This window comes from Homo sapiens, chromosome 2 (assembly GCF_000001405.40).
Source record: "Homo sapiens chromosome 2, GRCh38.p14 Primary Assembly".
NCBI classification, from domain to species: domain Eukaryota; kingdom Metazoa; phylum Chordata; class Mammalia; order Primates; family Hominidae; genus Homo; species Homo sapiens.
The window spans coordinates 213,077,994-213,097,876 of NC_000002.12; the positions used below are offsets into that span (position 1 = coordinate 213,077,994).

General features: G+C 36.4%; 1 protein-coding gene across 30 annotated transcripts in view; it reads right to left on the reverse strand.

Moving 5' to 3' along the window:
* The window catches only part of IKZF2 (IKAROS family zinc finger 2), a 152,759-nt gene that overhangs the window by 78,296 nt on the left and 54,580 nt on the right, over positions 1–19,883 (reverse strand). The gene's annotated exons all lie outside the window — the stretch shown is intronic.

Below are 19,883 nucleotides of genomic sequence, written 5' to 3' on the forward strand. Positions count from 1 at the left end.
TGGGTTAGAGTAGAAGATTGCATATTCCTTTCCGTCTTAAGAGCTTTATGATCCTACTAAGGATCCCACTGATAAACGCACATATTCCTGTATCCTCAACTCTTCAAGTGTAAACAGATTATGTGTCCTTTAAAAAAAACAATTCATGAATACAAAGATTTATGTTTTGCTATATTATTTTAGAAGGGTAGAGAAATTGGCTGAAATTGCTAAGAAAACTTAAAAATGTAGACAGTAATATTTTATCTTCTGTTGAAAATGTTAAAAATGTACTTTCTATTTTTAACAAAGGTTTTTCTTCCCTTTTCTTAACATTAAATTAGTTCTCAATTCACAGCAACAATTACTATATTCTTTCCAGAAACAAAATCAGTATCCTACAGAGGTTATGAGAAACTCTTTTCTTTATGAGTTATATTATAATGTAACTCATACTTAAACAGTTTATTTAGTTCAGAGTGTTTTCAAATCTTCCATCTCAATAGATCTTCACACTAGAATATGAAGTAGGTGCTATTATTATCCCCAGTAAACGTACAAGAAAACTGAATCGCAGAAAACAGAATTATTTGAGCAAAATCACACAGCTAATAAGTAAGTTGAAGAGCAGGGCTTAGGTTTTGTTTTTTGCTTTGCCCTCTAAATACTGTGTTTCTTCATCCCTTTGAAAAGTGAGTCCAGAAGGGTAATTTTACATTTTAGTGAAATAGAGTGAGTGGCTACCTAATTTTGACAGTTCTCATTTATCTGTCTCATTAGCATGGACAGACCAGATGGACAACCCACCATATAGAAAGAAATTCTGCTGTCATTTCCTGCCAAACCAAAGTGATTCTTCTCTCCCATGTTAACCAACTGTGTTCACAACCAAACTGCTCTCTGAGTTTTCTGTTTCCAAACCTATGAGAAACAATAGTGGCATGGTGAGTACTAACTTCTGATATGTCAGGTTGATATGACAGTAGTACTAGCCCATCATTGTGACGTTAAATCTATTGAAAAATAAACCTTAAATACAGCATTTGTTGTTGCTGCTATTGTTGTTGCTGTCTAATTTTCTCTTTTTTGTTGAGGGAGAAGGGGGAGAAGGTCTATAAAGAAGAGTCTTGGTTGGGTGTCATGGCTCATGCCTGTAGTCCCAACAGTTTGGGAGCCTGGGTAGATCACTTGAGCCCACTGGTTCAAGACGAGCCTGGGCAACATAGTGGGATCCCATCTATACAAAAAATTTAAAATGTAGCCAGGTGTGGTAGTGCGTGTTTGTAGTCCCAACTACTTGGGGGACTGGGACAGGAGTATTGCTTCAGCCCAGGAGTTCAAGGCTGGAGTAAGCCATGATTGTGCCACTGTACTGAAGCCTAGGTGACACAATAGAAAAGAAAAAAGAAGGAAAGGAAAGGAAGAAAGAAGGAAGGAAGGAAGCATGGAAGGAAGGAAGGAAGGAAAGGAGGGAGGGAGGGTGGAAGGAAGGAAAGGAGGGAGGGGGAGAGAGAAAAAAAGAAAGAGAGAGAGAGAAGAAAGGAAGGAAGGCAGGAAGGGAGGGAGGGAAGGAAGGAGAAAGGGGAGAGAGAGAGACAGAGAAAGAGAAAAGAAAAGATCTCCATCTATAAACCATCTCCATAAATTTCTTGTATACTACCAAGAGAGAAAGCTTGTGTTGTCCCACCACAGTTGGGCAGGATACATTTGCCAGCCCAAGTAAAAATATGATTAAAATAGGCAAAGCTTGTCATCTCCTGATTTTTACTTTCTCTATGTTTTCCTAGCAGCAACTTCCATTTTTCCCAAAGTGCTACCCACCTTAAGGCATCTAATTAGTGCCCACTGTTTTTCCACCCTCCAGTTTGATGCCCAGCTTTCTATGACATACCCTAAATGAACCACACTTTGTATTTGCTTTCCTATCACCTGCCCCCAATCAAAATTCACTTTTCATTTCTCCTATCACCTGGAACCCTGCCAAAAGCTTTTTAGGAAACCAATTACCTAATCTGATAAACTGCTGAGCAATATTTAGCAAGAAATTTGACTAACACTTAAAAACACATGTACCCAATTCCAGTTCCCACAACTTACAACTACAAAGTTCAAAGGAACAAAAGAAATAAAAACACTCTCCTAAGAGAAAAAGAGATAAGCCTGAGCTTCTATTTACCCTGAAGTATATATTTAAAAAATCTATATAGAGATAGATAGATAGATAGATAGATAGATATGGATATCTTGTCATATTCTGTTATGATGTGATAATATGGAAAGGGAGATTCTTTTGCCCACCCATAATTTACAAATACTGTGTCAGTGAACTTCTAAAGTTGGAAATTACTTTAAAATAATTTGGGAGGGAAAGTATTTTGGGATATGGAGGCACAAAGGTTCATTAAATATCTACTTCTCTATATATCCAAATTTTCAACATTAAAGGAAAGAGAAAACGAGGAGAACAAATCAATCAATGAATGGGGGAGCAACAGTTATGAAACTGCAACTATTATAATTCAGAAAACTTTGAAAATGGTTGAAATAGAAAATAAGTGAAAAAACCCTCTAATAATGTATGACTGTAAGAGACATGGGTAAAATGCAAGTGATTAAGACTAGTTCAAAATAAATGAGAACTAAATGTTCAGAAAAGACTTTTAAATATTTTCTTACAACTAGTAAATTTTCATGTATCTAGTGAATATTTTTAAAGGAACAACATTAATCTTTAAATCACTGACAAATTTAAGATAAAGGACATGGGCTAGCCATGGCAAGAAATGGTTTAATGATACCACACATATCACTGACTCAAAATCCTAACTAATTCTAATAGGTTTGACAATTGCAACACATATGGAAGGAAAAAAAAAGCTATTTACTAAGCTCCTTCTCTAATCCATTTAATAAGGGATGAAATGTTTGGCACCATCTTGACCTATTGTTAAATTAGTCCTAATCATTAAATATCCCTTTCATAAAGAAAAAAAAATTTGGTGTTAGGTTGAGTTTTTTTAGTATAAATCTATTACAACTAATAAAAAAGCAATTAGAGTTTCTATTTATATGTCCAACATGTATTAAGTTAGGTCTGTGAAGGCCTAGAGTCTAGGAAGATGAGTAAGGCCCATGAGGGTCAAGTGGAAACATACCAGGCCTGGGAAGAGTATAGGAGGTAGTTCAGAAAGACTTACAGCATATAGAGCTAGCCAGTGGTTATCCCAGCAATCAACAAACTGGAGCATGGCCCAAAGGTAGGTACACTGAAATCAGGATATTAGCCAGAACAGAAGAAAAAAAAAAAAGAATAGGTATGTAAGTATGTCATTAGTAGATTCAATTAAATCCAGTATCTATAATATCCTCCAAGTAGATGCAGGACAGGTGATTGGCAATGATCCAAAACAAAGTCACAGAAGTAATTCACTCTTTTAAACATTTATTGAACTACAATGAGCTCAAAGTCCAATATAGACAGAAAGTCAACAAATAATGAGAATATGGCATGATGAGTACACTAATAGATGTGTGGACTCAGGTATAAGGAGAAGATATAAAAGAGGGGATGATCAAAGAAGTTTGGGTAGGCTGGGGAAGGTTTCTCAAAGAAGATGACTGAATTCCACCTTGAAACATGAAGTTTCACCAGTCACACTTGGTGGGAAGATATCCCAGAAGGGGGAATAACATGTGCGAATGCAATGGAGTATGAAAAATGGAGTGATCATCAGGTACCAGTCATGGGGAAAGTGGGTTTTCAGGGCAAGAAACTCAAGACCCTGAGAGCAAACCATAAAATCATGCCCTGAGGAACCGAGGTACCAAGGTCAGACCAGAACTGACATTAAATGTGACTGTGTACTAAACTAGTGAGCTACTACACCCCTCCTAATATCCTCTGGGGGTAGGGTCCAGAATCTGAGTCCATTAAGGATATTCAATTGTAAAGGTCAGAGGTCTGGCTGCAAAGTCAGGGAGGTCCTTAAATAAGTTTAAATAAGAACTAAACTAGTTATATTTTAATAAGAACTTTATAGACCTAAAGAAAGGTCTCTGAAGAGCAAGTGGGACTCATGATCAAGTTAAAGGCAAGTGAGGCTGACTACAAGTTACCCAATAGTGATGAAATATCTAGGATTTTGATAACATGTCAAACAGAAATTTTTCTAGTTTTGTTCTATACATTGTTATGTGCTATATGTTAAAACAGTTTTTCATGAAATCAAGCAGCAATAAATGTATACTTAAGGCTTGCAATAGAAAAACTATTGTGCTAAGTTTGAGGAATAAATACAACGATAAAGAATGATCCTTACTCTCAAGAAGTTTACAGCCAAATTAAGGAAATAAAACAGCTATCTAGAAATATGAGCAAATATACAAGGTACAGCAAATGTCAATAGGTCCCTTCTTTTATAAACCAATGTACTTTTTACTAGCTTATCCTGTGATGTTATATTAATGCAAGAAATAAGATTTATAATGATAAAAACATAGATAAAAGGAAGAAAAGGTACATTTGCACAAAAGAATCTGTGCTAATGTTAGCAATGAAGCAAACCCTCTGACTAAGTCAACTTTAAAACTCTAAGTTTATTGGATTTAGAACTTAACACATATATAGTCAATATCCCATATCATTCAAATTACTCAAGGCACTCAGTATACAGAATATGAAGAAATATTTAGATCATCGGAACTTGCCTATTATAAAGCAAGGGTTAAAAATACTCTTCTTCAAAGTTTGGTGAGTGTGTGAGTAAGAAACACCTGCTGCCAACTCCATACAGATAGCAAAAAGACTCATAAATTTCACTGACAATTTTTTTGGATGGGGTTTCAGCTAATTCACTTATTACATCCATAAACACTGGAGACATTTCACTACTTTTGACAGTTCAAGTTTTCCTTCTAAAATATGTTTGCAAAATATAATTTCAGAGGAGAAATGTTGCTTTGGTTTGCAGGGTTTTTAACAATTCATTTAGAGGTCCAGAAAAGCATTTTATATTTCTTTTCCTTCATATGTCTGCTTATTTGATGGTAATTTTATACCTCTGAGACAACAAAATGACTTTTTAAACCTTCAGTTAAAATGAGCCATATAGTTGAAAAGTCTATTAAAAACTATAGCCAGAAAGTAAGACATGCTAAAATTAAACACTACTTTAAGTAATGAAAACACTCTGCTTTTGCAATGTTTGAAGTTCAAATAACTTCTATAAGTTCTAGTGCCAGGCATCCCCAAACCCCAGGCCAGGGACCAGTAGGAACCAGTAGGAAACTGGTCACATAGCAGGAGGTGAGCTCCATCTGTATTTACAGCACTTCCCATCTCTCATACTACTGCTTGAGCTCCACCTCCTGTCAGATCAGCTATGGCACTAGATTCTCATAGGACGGCGAACCTTTTTTTTTTTTTTTTTTTTTTTGAGACGGAGTTTCGCTCTTGTTGCCCAGGCTGGAGTGCAATGGCGCAATCTTGGCTCACCACAACCTCTGCCTCCCAGTTTCAAGCGATTCTCCTGCCTCAGCCTAGCTGGGATTACAGACATGCGCCACCACACCAGGCTAACTTTTTTTTTTTTTTTTTTTTTTGTATTTTTAGTAGAGATGGAGTTTCTCTATGTTGGTCAGGCTGGTCTCAAACTCTCAACCTCAGGTGATCCGCCCACCTCGGCCTCCCAAAGTACTAGGATTACAAGTGTGAAGCACTGCGCCCAGCCTCAGATGGCGAACTTTATTGTGAACTGCACATGCCAGAGATCTAGCTTGTGTGCTCCTTATGAGAATCTAACGCCTGATGATCTGTCACTGTCTCCCATCACCCCCAGACTATCTGGGACTATCTAGTTGCAGGAAAACAAGCTTAGGACTCCACAGATTCTACATTATGATGAGTTATAGAATTATTTCATTATATATAACAATGTAATAATAGAAACAAAGTGCACAATAAATGTAATGCTCTTGAATCATCCCGAAACCATCCCCCACTAACCCTCAGGCTGTGGAAAAATTGTCTTCCACAAAACCAGTACTTGGTGCCAAAAAGGTTGGGGATAGAATACAGATTATTTGGAGTAAGTCAGGCCTCAGTTTAAATACCCAAACTGACACTTGTCACCTGCCAATTATTCAAGTACACCTGTCTAAACTACAGTAAAGTGAGCATATGATGTGGAATTCAACCACCTTGATTTTGCATCCCAAACCTGTCACTTACCAGCTGTATATCACAGAGCATATTAGTCAGCCTCAGTTTCCCTGGAATGCTTCCCTGGCTTAGAAATTTGAGATAATAACTTTCCAGGGAAGTTTTAAGGAGTAAATTGTATAGACTGTATGAAAGTACCTCACACAGTACCTAACATATAGGGATACTCAATAAATAATAGTTCTGTTCCTCACTACAAAAGATTCTCCTAAACTACAGTTTACTCACAGCAATGTTAATTTCATTCTTATGGTCAGTGTTAGAAAAGTGCTTAGTAATCATTTTTATTATGGCTTTGGGGTAAGGAAATGAACATATATGAAATCTTACAGAAGTAACAAGGTCTACAAAAAGGTTTCTGAAAAAAATCATAAGATGATAAAATGTATCTATGTCACTCTAAAAAAGAAATTGAAAAAAAAAACAGGTTCCTTCAACTCTCCCTTTCTTAAGTATTTTCTGTTACTATTAAGTCCCAATATCAGGTGATGAGCATTATCTGAAGGCCTTTTACACATGAAAAAATATTATCATGCCTTCTCTAATCTGAAAGAATAAAATAACATTAAGCCTTGTTGAAGTTGTACTTTGTAACCTTTAGAGCCCATCACATACTTACAACTCTCTTTGCTCATGTAGTATCCCTTTGCATTGGATGTCCTCATTTGTCCTCATTTTCTAGCTTTCATGATTCAAGGTCCAGTTTCAATGTGATTTCCTAAAAGAATATCCCTTTCTGTCCAATTTTGGTGAAATTAATGGCTCCTAACAGAATAGTGAATCTACACCGCAAATATAATTTAACTGTCACTTCTATTACGCTGTACGCTATGACCCAAGAACAATCTTATTCATCTCTGCATTCCAGGCACTTAACACAGTGGCTGGCACACAATAATGTTCAAAAAATATTTACAGAATCAAGTTGAATTCTTCCCCAAGTCATCTTTCTCTTTTAAAACACTTAGAAACACTTAGAAACAGATGATGTTAAAAGCAATTTTTAGTAAGCATTTTTAAAATCGAAAGGTGAGCTCCTTCTTTTATTAAAAGGCACTAAAGAGCAATTAAATATTTTTCAAATTATGTATGTTTTTAAACAAAAAGCCTTTTGGACACATGTTCTTATTATGAGCCAAATTTGCCAGCAAGGCAAGTGACACTATTGACATCTTAGGGTATAAATGGCTTATATATTAACATACCAACACTAAATATATTAATGTATTTCAATATGATTCATTTAAACATGGCTTTGTTTAAAAAATCTAGTTAGGACTTTATTCACCATGATCTTATTCCAGAAACTATTTTTAAAGTTTCATTTATAAATGCAGTAAAATTAGAGTTTATTCATCAACTCATGAGAGTTGGCAGTGCTGGTTTCACCATGGTGTAATAAAAGAATGAGAGAGTGGATATCTACTCAGTGAAGGTGTTGCAGCATTAATGATAGGGAAACTGACCTGAGAAAAACACCTGAAACCCATAACATAATCTGTAGAATGAAGGAGGCAACACGATGTTGGGTCAGCCTGCCAGACAATGCATGCACTCTATTTAAGAACTATCGCATCCTGCTGTATAACCTCTTTATGTTTTGCTATACATACAGAAGAGCAGGTCTCCTTTCTCGATTATCCTTAAGGAGGTTGCAGCCTTGTTAATGATAGGTGTCAAGATCTCCAAAAGAGATGGACTTTACTCACTGGAAAATGTTGAGACTTTCCGGGATCACTCTGGCCAAGTTCTTAAACTTGAGAAGGTGGTGATTAAAAGTTAGCAAGTGGTTCTGCAGTGGTGAGACGTGGGGTAAAGAATAATTGCTAACCCAAACTGAGGGCAACACCAAATGCTAACTTCACCAAATTAAAGAAAACAAAACTGCTTAGTATAGGAATCATTACTCCACTAAAAACATAAATTACTTGGACTTGGAAAAAAACTTTTGAATTTTCACCTAAAACACTGTACTAGTGAACCTTATGTTCAGCAATATTCAACAATACTTCTTGGTATTCAAATATAACTCCATGTGAGCATGTAGAATCCAGGGAAAGAATCCCTGGAATGCTGTAACTGTTTGAATAGTTCATATCCTGCAAATACCTACATCCAAAAAGAAAAAAGAGTTGGAAGAAAGCTGCAAATGTTACTAATTTACCAGTACTAAATACCAACAAAATATAGTTTTAACAATGCAAAATAATATATGATATGATGTATGATTTACAAAAAACAGACTAAAATAAGCTCTAAATTTCTGTGGACAAGATGAATGTGTGTGGCTGAAGGGAAGCAAAAGTGATCCTGATCCCATGGTATTAAGGTAGTTCAGGTGAGTATGATTATTTTTCACACATAAACACTAGCCCGGAAGCTCACCTTTACTGCATATCCCTAAAGATGTCCAGAGATTGCTAGGCTTCCTCAGCAACGACTACAGGGACTAGGAACTCTTTCAGAGAGACCCCCTACTCTCCAGCCTCCAAACAGTCAGGCACTAGTCCAGCAGCCCTTGGCTGTGCTCAAGCAAAGAATTTTAGGAATGGGTAAAGGAATGGCACATTCCCTAGAGAGTTTAGTGTGGAATGGGAGTGGAGGGGGGAGGAAAAGAGGGCACCCTTCACATCCCTGTCAATCAACTATTATTAACTATTATGCTGATGGAATGGAATCTAACGTTATACTGGCTAAGACTGGCTTTCCTCCAGGTTCAACACTATTGCCAAAAAACAGACTGTGGTTTTATTAAGTGATCTGGCCTTTGCTCCATAAAGATCTCCCTGTTAATGCAATAGGGAGAATATCAATATAATATTCTCTAATATATATTTACTCTATTCTGAATAAAACACCTTCCACAATACCAGTACACTTAAAGTGGTAATCTTAGGTTTTGAAACAAAAGGTAGGGGAAGTCAAATCAGTGGAAAACCCGAGCAAATCAAAGGTCTTGATATGCAATGTATAGTAAAATTGACCCAAGCAGAGCAGAGGAAAAAAAATGCTAATTTAAACACTGCCTGTTGCTGTATTTGACTCATTATTTCTGTGGGAACTTTGATTTGCATAAAGGCATGGCAGATCTTAAGAGGCAGCAAACATTTACTCATGTCACTAATCACATTTATAATTCAGAAAGTTCCTCACACGTACGCATAAAATTCAAAATCCTGATTTTAATACTTTGTAGTTCTGAGGAAAAAAATGCAACTCATTTAAAAAGAAAAAGTTGTTTTATTTACATTAGTGTGTGTGTATATATGTATACTACACATGTGAAATGACTATCCATTACTAATTTATTTTTTAATTATACTTTAAGTTCTAGGGTACATGTGCACAACATGCAGGTTTGTTACACATGTATACATGTGCCATGTTGGTGTGCTGCACCCGTTAACTCATCATTTACATTAGGTATATCTCCTAATGCTATCCCTCTACCCTCCCCACTCCCTGCACCCCATGACAGGCCCCAGTGTGTGATGTTCCCCACCCTGTGTCCAAGTGTTCTCATTGTTCAGTTCCCACCTATGAGTGAGAACATGCGGTGTTTGGTTTTCTGTCCTTGCGATAGTTTGCTCATAATGATGGTTTCCAGCTTCATCCATGTCCCTACAAAGGACATGAACTCATCCTTTTTCGTGGCTGCATAGTATTTATTCCATGGTGTATATGTGCCACATTTTCTTAATCCAGTCTATCACTGATGGACATTTGGGTTGGTTCCAAGTCTTTGCTATTGTGAATAGTGCCTCAATAAACACACGTGTGCATGTGTCTTTATAGCAGCATGATTTATAATCCTTTGGGTATATACCCAGTAATGGGATGGCTGGGTCAAATGATATTTCTAGTTCTAGATCCCTGAGGAATTGCCACACTGTCTTCCACAATGGTTGAACTAGTTTACAGTCCCAGCAACAGTGTAAAAGTGTTCCCATTTCTCCACATCCTCTCCAGCACCTGCTGTTTCCTGACTTGTTAATGATCGCCATTCTAACTGGTGTGAGATGGTATCTCATTGTGGTTTTGATTTGCATTTCTCTGATGGCCAGTGATGATGAGCATTTTTCCATGTGTCTGTCAGCTACATAAATGTCTTCTTTCGAGAAGTGTCTGTTCATATCCTTTGCCCACTTTTTGATGGGGTTGTTTGATTTTTTTCTTGTAAATTTGTTTAAGTTCTTTGTAGATTCTGGATATACTAAGTATTAATTTATATCCAATTTCATTCCAAAGCTGATATTTAAAAACAGCTTTAAAAATAATTTTCCTGGCCTGGCACAGTGGCTCACACCTGTAATCTTAGCAATTTGAGAGGCTGAGGCAGGGGGATCATTTGAAGTCAAGAGTTTGAAACCAGCCTGGCCAACATGGTGAAACCTCCTCTCTAGTAAAAACATAAAAATTAGCCAGTCATAGTGGTGGGCGGCTGTAATCACACCACTTGGGAATCTGAGGCAGGAGAATCGCTTGAACCCAGAAGGCGGAGGTTGCAGTGAGCCAAGATTGCGCCACTGCACTCCAGTCTGGGCAACAGAGCGAGACTCTGTCTCAAAATAAATAAATAAATAAAGTTCATTTTACCAAAATTAATAACAACAATAATGGAAGATATTTATTAGGTGCTAATTACTTGTCAAGAATTACACTGAGTTTCACAAACATTATCTAATGTTACCTTCAAAGAACCCAGTGAAATAAGTAATATATCCCCACCTATAAGTGAGGACACTAAGTCTTAAAAAACTGTTGGGTAGCTTTGGTTCTCTGCTGCATTGTAAGGGAAACCATAATTGCACTACTCTGCAGGAGCATCCTGGCTCTCGAATCCTTTGGCTAAGACATTTTGATTAAGACTCATCTTGATTTGAGATTCTAGGAATGACTCTCAAGCTTCACCTGTTCAAAACAGAGCTCTTCATTTCCCCAAGTCAGTAAGTGACATCACTATTCACCAGGCTACTTAAGCCAAACACTAGCAGTCACTCCTTAGACCTCTTTTTCCCTCACATGCCGCTTCCAATCCATCAGCAAGTCCAACAGGCTCTACTTACAAAAGACCACTTCTCACCACCCCCACTGCTCCTGCTCTAGTTGGATACACCACCATCTTTCACACAAATCACTTTCACGCAGACCTTCTCACTTCAGCTCAGGCCTCTTCACTTTTGTGCAGGCCTCCTCACAGGGCACCTTGCTTGCAGTCCTCTCCCTTTGTCCACTCTCCACATGGGACCCAGATAATTTATGAAATATATGATCACCCCATACAGATCTCTCCCCTCTTTCAGACCACTGTAACCAAACCAAACTGGTACCCTTGCTGTTCCTCAAGTACACCAAATATGCAAAGTGTCACAATTCCCAAGAATGATTCTAACTAGAAAATCCACTGCTTTTGTAATAGAACATTTTTGGCTGACAGATCATGGGCCAAAAATTTAACCTCCACTCTCCAGGCCCAATCTGGTTTGTAACCATGTACATGCATGGCAACCCTTATTCTGTTACGGGGAGAAGGAGGAGGAAATTGGGAGAATTCTGTAAGGGGGAGAAGGGTTAGTAAAAGGTAAGTATAGAGAAAAAAGTAGAGCCTAGCATCTGTTCTTCATTGGACTCCTTGCCTGAGATTAAATGCTTACAGTAAAGGAATGACAGCCAAAAAATGATGGAACTGAAATGAAATTCTGGAAAAAAGATTATGACCAGAAATTGATCAAGAGACACTTCCTGATACTCTGGGCACTAGCAGAGCTTCTTTAAGGCCCAGACAATACAATATCACTCACAGCTGGGGAGAGACCTCCTGCCAAAACACCCAGAAGCATCCTTGACTCAAGCACTGATTTTCTCCTGATAGGAAGTAACAACAAAGGGTCTTTGCCAATGGACCTCCTGAGCTGTGGATGCAAACATTTGGGAACTAGGGGAGAAATGTGGGCAGTGTGTGTTAGTGACAGCTGAGAGAATGGTTTCTGGACATATGTGAGGTGACAGTGGATTCCTAGAGGGTCACAGGTACATGGTGAAGAAGGTGAATTTATATGAATCAGGCCAGTGCGGCCAGTAGTAGAGAGTCAGAACTATCTCAATCTGCTCACTAAAGTATATGTGTCTTTATGCAGAAGTCAAGGCTGGTAAGGTCTGTAAACATCTTGGTTCTGCCTTTAGGTTAAGTCCAATTTTTTTTCTTTTCCTCTAACATTTCTAAAGGAGACTAAACAAACATGGTCTTTTCTGTCACTAACTCCAGGCTCACTTACTTTGGCATTCACATTTCTATTTGATGCTTTGGCTATACACAGACAGAAGACAATTATACAATAAAATGGTTTTATATCATACTCTTTTCACCAAAAAACAAGCCAATTTAAAAACTAAGTTTCTTTAAAAATTGCAGATGTAATGAATTAAGGTAAGATGAAGTCGTACTAGAGTAGGGTGAGCCCTTAATCTATTGTGACTGGTGTCCTTACAAAAAGGGAAAGTTTAGACAGAGACATGCATATGGGGTGAATGCTGTGAACATGAAGGCAAAGATGAGGGTGATGCAGATATAAGCCAGGAACACCAAGGAATATCAGCAGCCATCAGCAGCCAGGGGAGAGGGACATAGCAGATTCTCCCTCACAGCCCTCACATGAAACCAATACTGCTTACACCTTAATCTCAGACTTCCAGCCTCCAGAACTGTGAGGCAATAAACTTCTGTTGTTTAAGCCACCCAGTCTGTGGTAGTTCGTTACAGCAAACCAAGGAAATTAATACAGGCTCAGATGAGATATATTTTAGGAACCAGAAAGGAGATGCAGAAGTGATTGGGACACTACAGCAAGAACATTTTGAAGTCCTTCAGAGGAAAGGAAAGGTGCCAGAGGACCAGAGACGGGCTAATTTTACGATTTTTAAAGGCAAAGGATGTGAATTTTGTCAATCTAAGATAAATATGCTTACAATGAACCAATTAAAATTGGAAGGTAAGTGTTTGTGTAACAACTTTTTAAAAAGTATGATCCAATATGGGTTCACTAAAAATAATATTTTTATTGTTGATGGAATTATTAAACTGGTAGTTTAAAAATGTGGACTTTGTTCATTCTGAACTTAATTCCATATCTGAAGAAAGCTCTCATAATGTTCTTGAGGTCGAAATGGAGAAATATGTAGGAAATAATATGAGAGGTACATTCATAACAGGTTGAACAACCACACCCAAACAGTATTGATTAATGACAAGATGTTAACTTGAAAACAGATCTCAGGTTGTGTGCCATAGGGCTATTTTCACAAGATTGAAAAGAAACTTGCAAGGCATGTTTATCAAACCTGTGCATGACACACAGCTGACAAGGATACCTGATCCCCTCAATGGCTGAGTTTTGATTCCAGAAATCATCCGTCTGAAGAAGAAAGGAATTAGAGATGTTAACCAAGAGAAAAACAACAGGGAAAGGTAGATATGAGATCAAGGCTGGATTTATGAAAGATGTGGGATCAAAGTAGCTTATGCAGAAAAGATGTGAAAATTTAATAAAAGAAAGAATATTCTATTTCTCTGTGTAACTGTCACTCTAGTGCTAATATATTTTACTTAATTATTGCTGGTCCTCTCCATGGCCACTAGCTTCCCCATTTCTTCCCTTACATTTTCCAATCCATTCTGTGAAAGAGAGTATAAGCTGTGTGTGTGTGTGTGCGTGTGTGTGTGTGTATGTGTGTGTGTACTCATACTATTTTTATTTAATTTATTTACTTATTATTTTTTGTTTATTATATTTTTATTAATTTATCTATTTTATTTATTATACTAGTATTTGTATACATGCACATACTATTTTTGAGACAGGGTCTCACTCTGTTGCCCAGGCTGGAGTGCAGTAGCACAATCAAGGCTCACTGCAGCATCGACTTCCTGGGCTTAAGTGATCTTCCCTCCTCAGTCTCCTGAGTCGCTGGAACCACATATGCACACCACCACACCTAGCTAATTTAAAATAATTATTTTGTAGAGATGAGATCTCCCTATGTTGCCCAGACTAGTTTTGAACTTTGAGACTAAAGCAGTTCTCCTGCCTTGGCCTCCCAAAATGCTGAGATTACAGTGTGAGCCACTGTGCCTGGCCTATAAGCTATCTTTTATAAACTGTAACCATAATAACCTCCTCTACCATTTCAATGTACAGTTATGGTCATATTTAAATTTTTACTTCAAATATAGCTGGCTAGAGTTCTCACTTGCCCCAGAACTTCAGTCTACATACCATGCCACGCAGAGAGTTGGTAAACCATAATTAATCTGCTATTCACAAGGCTACTGGTCTTTTATCACCCAACAATGTTAGTCCCCCCTGTGATGGTACCATCCCACCGCCCTGTTCGAGCCACAGTGATGATCCTGTTTCCTTTGGTGCCCAGCTCAGTCAAGGGTGCTCTACTTCTGTGTTTGCAACTACCATTACCAGCTGTTCTTCCCTAAGGTACTAACTACACTGATGACAGCATATACAAAATTTTCTATCATCAGCCCCATGAGTTCAAAAGGGTTTCTCTTGAATGTTGGTTGCCAGGTGGGGTACCCCTTTCTGTCCTCAATGTAACTTCATTTCAGGAATCTCATTGCCCTTTCCAGAGACTGGGATTGAGTCAGTGCCACACAGCTCTATGTCAGCAGAGACTAGGTATTAGTTCTTTCTCTCCCAGAAGGCGCTGGACATCTTGTGTAAACTGATCTCCTCCCCAGGAACCAGCTTTACAGAGCAGAATACAAGTGCATTCTCAGGGAGTGGCAGACTTCTATTAATGAAGTCAGAAAGTTTTCTGCTCTATGACAATGATTGTGTACCTGCTCTATATTTGCTAAACTAAGAAAGTTATTCAAGTAATACAGAAGATAAGCACTTCTAGATTTAAATATCTGCTCTTCTCCCCACCCAACACCTAAAAAAATCATAAATCAAATTCTACCAAGTCAGTGTTCAACACTATTTCAATAGTTGTTTGTTGCTTTTAGGATAAAAATCCAAAATTCTTCCCCAAATCCTCAAAAAAATAAAGTATATTACATGGCTCCTTCTCACCTCTCCAGATACATCATGAGCCACTCCATCTCCCTCCATAGCAGGCTCACAGGCCTTCTTTCAGTTCTTTGGTGAACATATTATAAAAGCCAACTTTTTCCTGCTGCGGGGCCTTTGCACATATACAATGGTCTCTCATACTCTACTGCTATCTGAGTGGCCCCCACTCCTTACCTCCTCTATAGTTTAAATTTCACTTACTCTAAATCGTCAATATAAACTAAGGACCCGATGTTCTTTTTAATTATAATGTCCTATTATTTTTATTTTACAGCATCTAATATAAATTATTACATACTTATATATGTGCTTACATTTTTAATGTCTTCTTTCAACTGTAAGCTCTATAAGGATAGAGCCTTGTCTGTTTTGTTCACTGCTGTAGAGCAAGCTTAGTGCCTGACCCAAAGTAAGCCTCAAGAAATATTTTATTAGATAATTGAAGGAATAACTAGAAATACCCAATAACAGAACCACTAGCTTTATTGTCTTGGAAGAAATCTTCATTGTACATCGCATGCTTTGCACAAAGGTTTCCTAAGTTGGGAAGAAAGATCAACTACATGACCTTGAACTTTCTAGTTCGGGAACTAATACATTATAAGACATAAGCTGCTATGTGGATTCTAAGAACAGAAGGTCATTCTTATTTGGGAAGTTAGTAAAAGTTTCAAGGAGGAATTACTTGAAATATAATCGAGATATAACTTAGAGGAAATGTTTGATTTGAAACTGCACAAGAGAGAACTCCAGAGATGTGAACATGTGAAAAGGGAAACATAAAAAGGTAAATAAGAACATCTTGTGGGAAAAGGTAAACCTGAGTTCATCTGAGAAAGGTATGGATTAACAGGTTAAGCAGACATGGTAAAGTGAGTTGATAAAAAGTTTGAACTGGGTTCAAATTTCCATCTCTTAGGGGAGTGATAAAATTAGGGAGATTCATCTGACTATGCTGAGTATGTCAGAAGGATAAGTAGCTAGAGGTAAAGAGTAACTAAGGGGCTACTAATCTACCATAACAGCTATGAAGCTTGGAGTAAAGATAGGGTGATAGCTACGTATTTAACAATTCTATAAACTGGCAACAGCAGAGAGGCTGCAGTTCCCACAAGCAATAGCAAGAGAGAGCTGGCAAGAGACTACCATAGCTTCAGGGGCCCATGTAAGTACTATTTGCTGGTGTACCAGCACTGACACCAGGGTACCATCTTTCCTGGAAGAATCTGAGACCCCCCTAGCCTGGGAGAGAACATCCATGGGCACACTGAGGCTGAGATGCGCAGGCTGGGACACAGGCTGGTTAGCCAGTTGACAGCATATTAAGCAGGGTACCCACAAAGCTCTTGGGATGAAGGGAGTACAGGTACTCAATGGACTTGAGGAAAAGTCTCTTTCTCAAACCTGTACAAAAGCATTTTAATATTTTAGCAACCAGTATAATCATATCTGTAAGTGCTGGGTGCATATCAGCCACAGGTAAAGAAAGGCTAGATAAGATGTGGACTGGCAAGAGGAGAGAGGACAGAATCAAAAGAAATCTTAACGGAAAAAGAACAAGATACCAGATGACAGACTAGGAGAAGCCAAGAATATTAAGTAATCTGATTCCAAGATTTCAAGTCTGAAGAACCATATAGGGGAGAGTGTTATATTAATGACAGACATAAGGTATTTTGGAAACAGAATAAATTTGAGTGAAGTGGTATATGAGAATTATGAGTTTTTAAATTATTGACTTGAAAATGTTATTCATAGTTGTTCATAAACATCCATAAAGGCAACTAAAAGTACAAACCTTAAGTTCAGATCTGAACTCAAAGTTACAGACTTTGGGGAAAACTATGCAAATATCAGTATAAATGTGATAATGGTAAATAAACTCTTTAAGTAAGTGAACATTAAAATGAATCCTGAATAAATGTGCATATAGATAGCTTTCTTTTAGGATAAAGTAAATTAAAATTGGCCAAAACATATCATTAAATTAAAAATTAGAATGTTATAAAATATACTAAATAAATCATTTTTAAATATCCAAGATTCATTTTAAAACGTGATCCCCAAACTGGGGTGCATATTAGACTCTTTGGGTAACTTTTACCATCATACTGGTGGTTGACCAATTAGATGGGAATCACTGAATTAAAATAGTCTGTAAAATGAACATATGTAAAGTCAAATGTCTTAGAAAAAGATTTGAATAATCTTCAATGAAGAGCTTTAAAAAATAAAGATTTATCTAGACACTGAAAAGAGTTTAAACATAGAAGAATCAAAAATTTAAAACCATGCATATGTTATTTAACCACAGGTATACCATAAACATTTTAAAGATTAAAATATGTTTTTGTAAAAATATGTCTTTCAAATTTTTTAAATCTAGTTTTACTGAAGTTTCTTATGGTAGAAATGTGTGTTAATGAAAAGTTGAACAAATTAACATTTCAGTTCATGCTAAGAAGCACACTTCACTATTTCACTAGAACTAAAGAAAAATAAGTTATTGTTAAGTATTTCTGCAGAAGCAAAATTCAGGGGAAATTCCTAATTTGGTATTTGTAGCTCATCTAAGGATATTGTTTCTATCTACTAACGAGGTAATTATAGATATTTGAAATCAAATTTAAGTAGTATGACTTGGAGAAAAAAAAATTCCCATTTGTAGTATCTTTAACAATAATTGATAGTCATAAGTAACCCATCTCTGGGTTACAGTAACCACTAAATATTATACAGCTTATAGAAGGTAACCCAGAAGATATGTCCAAAAGAGCCTAGAAGAGGTACTGGAGAAGAGGGTATAGCTGAAGTCTCAAAAAAATAGCACCCATTCACTAAGGATATGTTACTTGATCAAGAGAGCATCATACTCTAAACTTGATGCGAATTTCACATGAAAGAAACTTAATAGCCAGAGAATAGGAAATATTGACTCTAAAGATGTCTTAGAATGTCTAAGAATAGCAAATCAAGCATGGCCCCACCAAAATAAAGCTGCTAACTATAGGTAAAAACTTTGTTTTCTATTCTTTTTCTGATTATGAAAGTAACAATGCCTCATTATATAAAAACAGGTATTTACAGAGATATTTAAACCAGTACCTAAACCTACCCCTATTTTTAACATTTTAGCATGTTTCTTTTCAAAAAAATTTGAGATTTTATCTATCGATAAACAGATAATGTATGGATGTATATATAATATACTATAAAGTATTTACCTCTCTATAATAACCTAAGCATTTCCATGTCATTAAGAAATTCTTCAACAGCATAATTTTTAAGACTATATATACTTCAGCTTATGGAATAACCATGATTTACCTAAGCACTGTACCGAAAGTAATTTCCAATAATAATACTCCAGTGTCTACTTTTGTGGATAAATCTGTCTGCATTTCTAACAGGTTTCTTAAAATTGAAGTCTCAAAGAAGGCATTATTAGGTGAAAAGAGAGGCAAGCGCATTATAAAGTTCCCATATATAAAACTGCCGTCCAAAATGAGGTGTCAATTTAAACTTGCATGAGTACTGTGTCAAAACAACATTACCAATGTAATGCTATCAATAAAACCAATACAATGTTATTGATGTTAAACAATCTCAGTAGCTTTCATCATTTATAATATGGTGAGTAAAACATGGTATTTTATTATTTTAAAGTGTATTTATTTCATTGATTGGAAATAAATTTGTCGCGTTAATTATTAATTCCTGAGATTACAAAAGTTTTTTTGAAAAACGCCAATTTAAAATCAATTATTGAAAGACTAAACTATTATTTTCTATATTTTTAAAGACCAAGAGATAATACATCAAATGTGCAGTAAAATCAAGGCTAATGGCATGCAGTTTAATGAGATAATTAATTAGCTTTTTATGCTAATTAGTACAACTGGGAATCATTCTAGTTAACTATGGTGATTCTAAAAAATATGCAATAGTTGGAAATAATCAGATTTATAATAATATAAATTGATATAAAATATTTCAAAATGTTTTATTAGTTAATAATCATATCTAAAGAATTAAACTTCTATCTCTGCCATAATTGAAAAATAAAATAAAAATAAAACTCAACACCATGAAGCAAACAGTTACACTGTATAACCTGTATAACATATTACCAAATATCTCTCTCTGGGCTATTTTTTCCCCATATTTCTTGATGACATACTTTTAAAATCCTAACATTCACTCTTGATTTCATATGTTAAAGTATTCAGAAACCTTCACATTTAGCCTTTATGTCCAGTAGATGAGTTATTCAAATGACTTTTAAGATCAGTCATACCCTTGAGATTCTATGACTTACAAAATATAATTAAACTTAATTAATAACTCTTTAAGAACTGATTTCATCATATATAAGCAGAAATTGTGACTCCTATATTACGGGTGATTGTATCATAGAACCTGACACACAGCACACGGAAGTGTTCAATAAATGCCATTCCCTTTCCCCTAACTTCCAGCTCTCCCCCTCTGCTCTCTATCAATATGTACTTGTTGACAAATCAAATTTTATTTGTAATTAAAAGGTGAAAAAATATAATTACATATTTACAATATCTATTGTCAAACATCCTTAC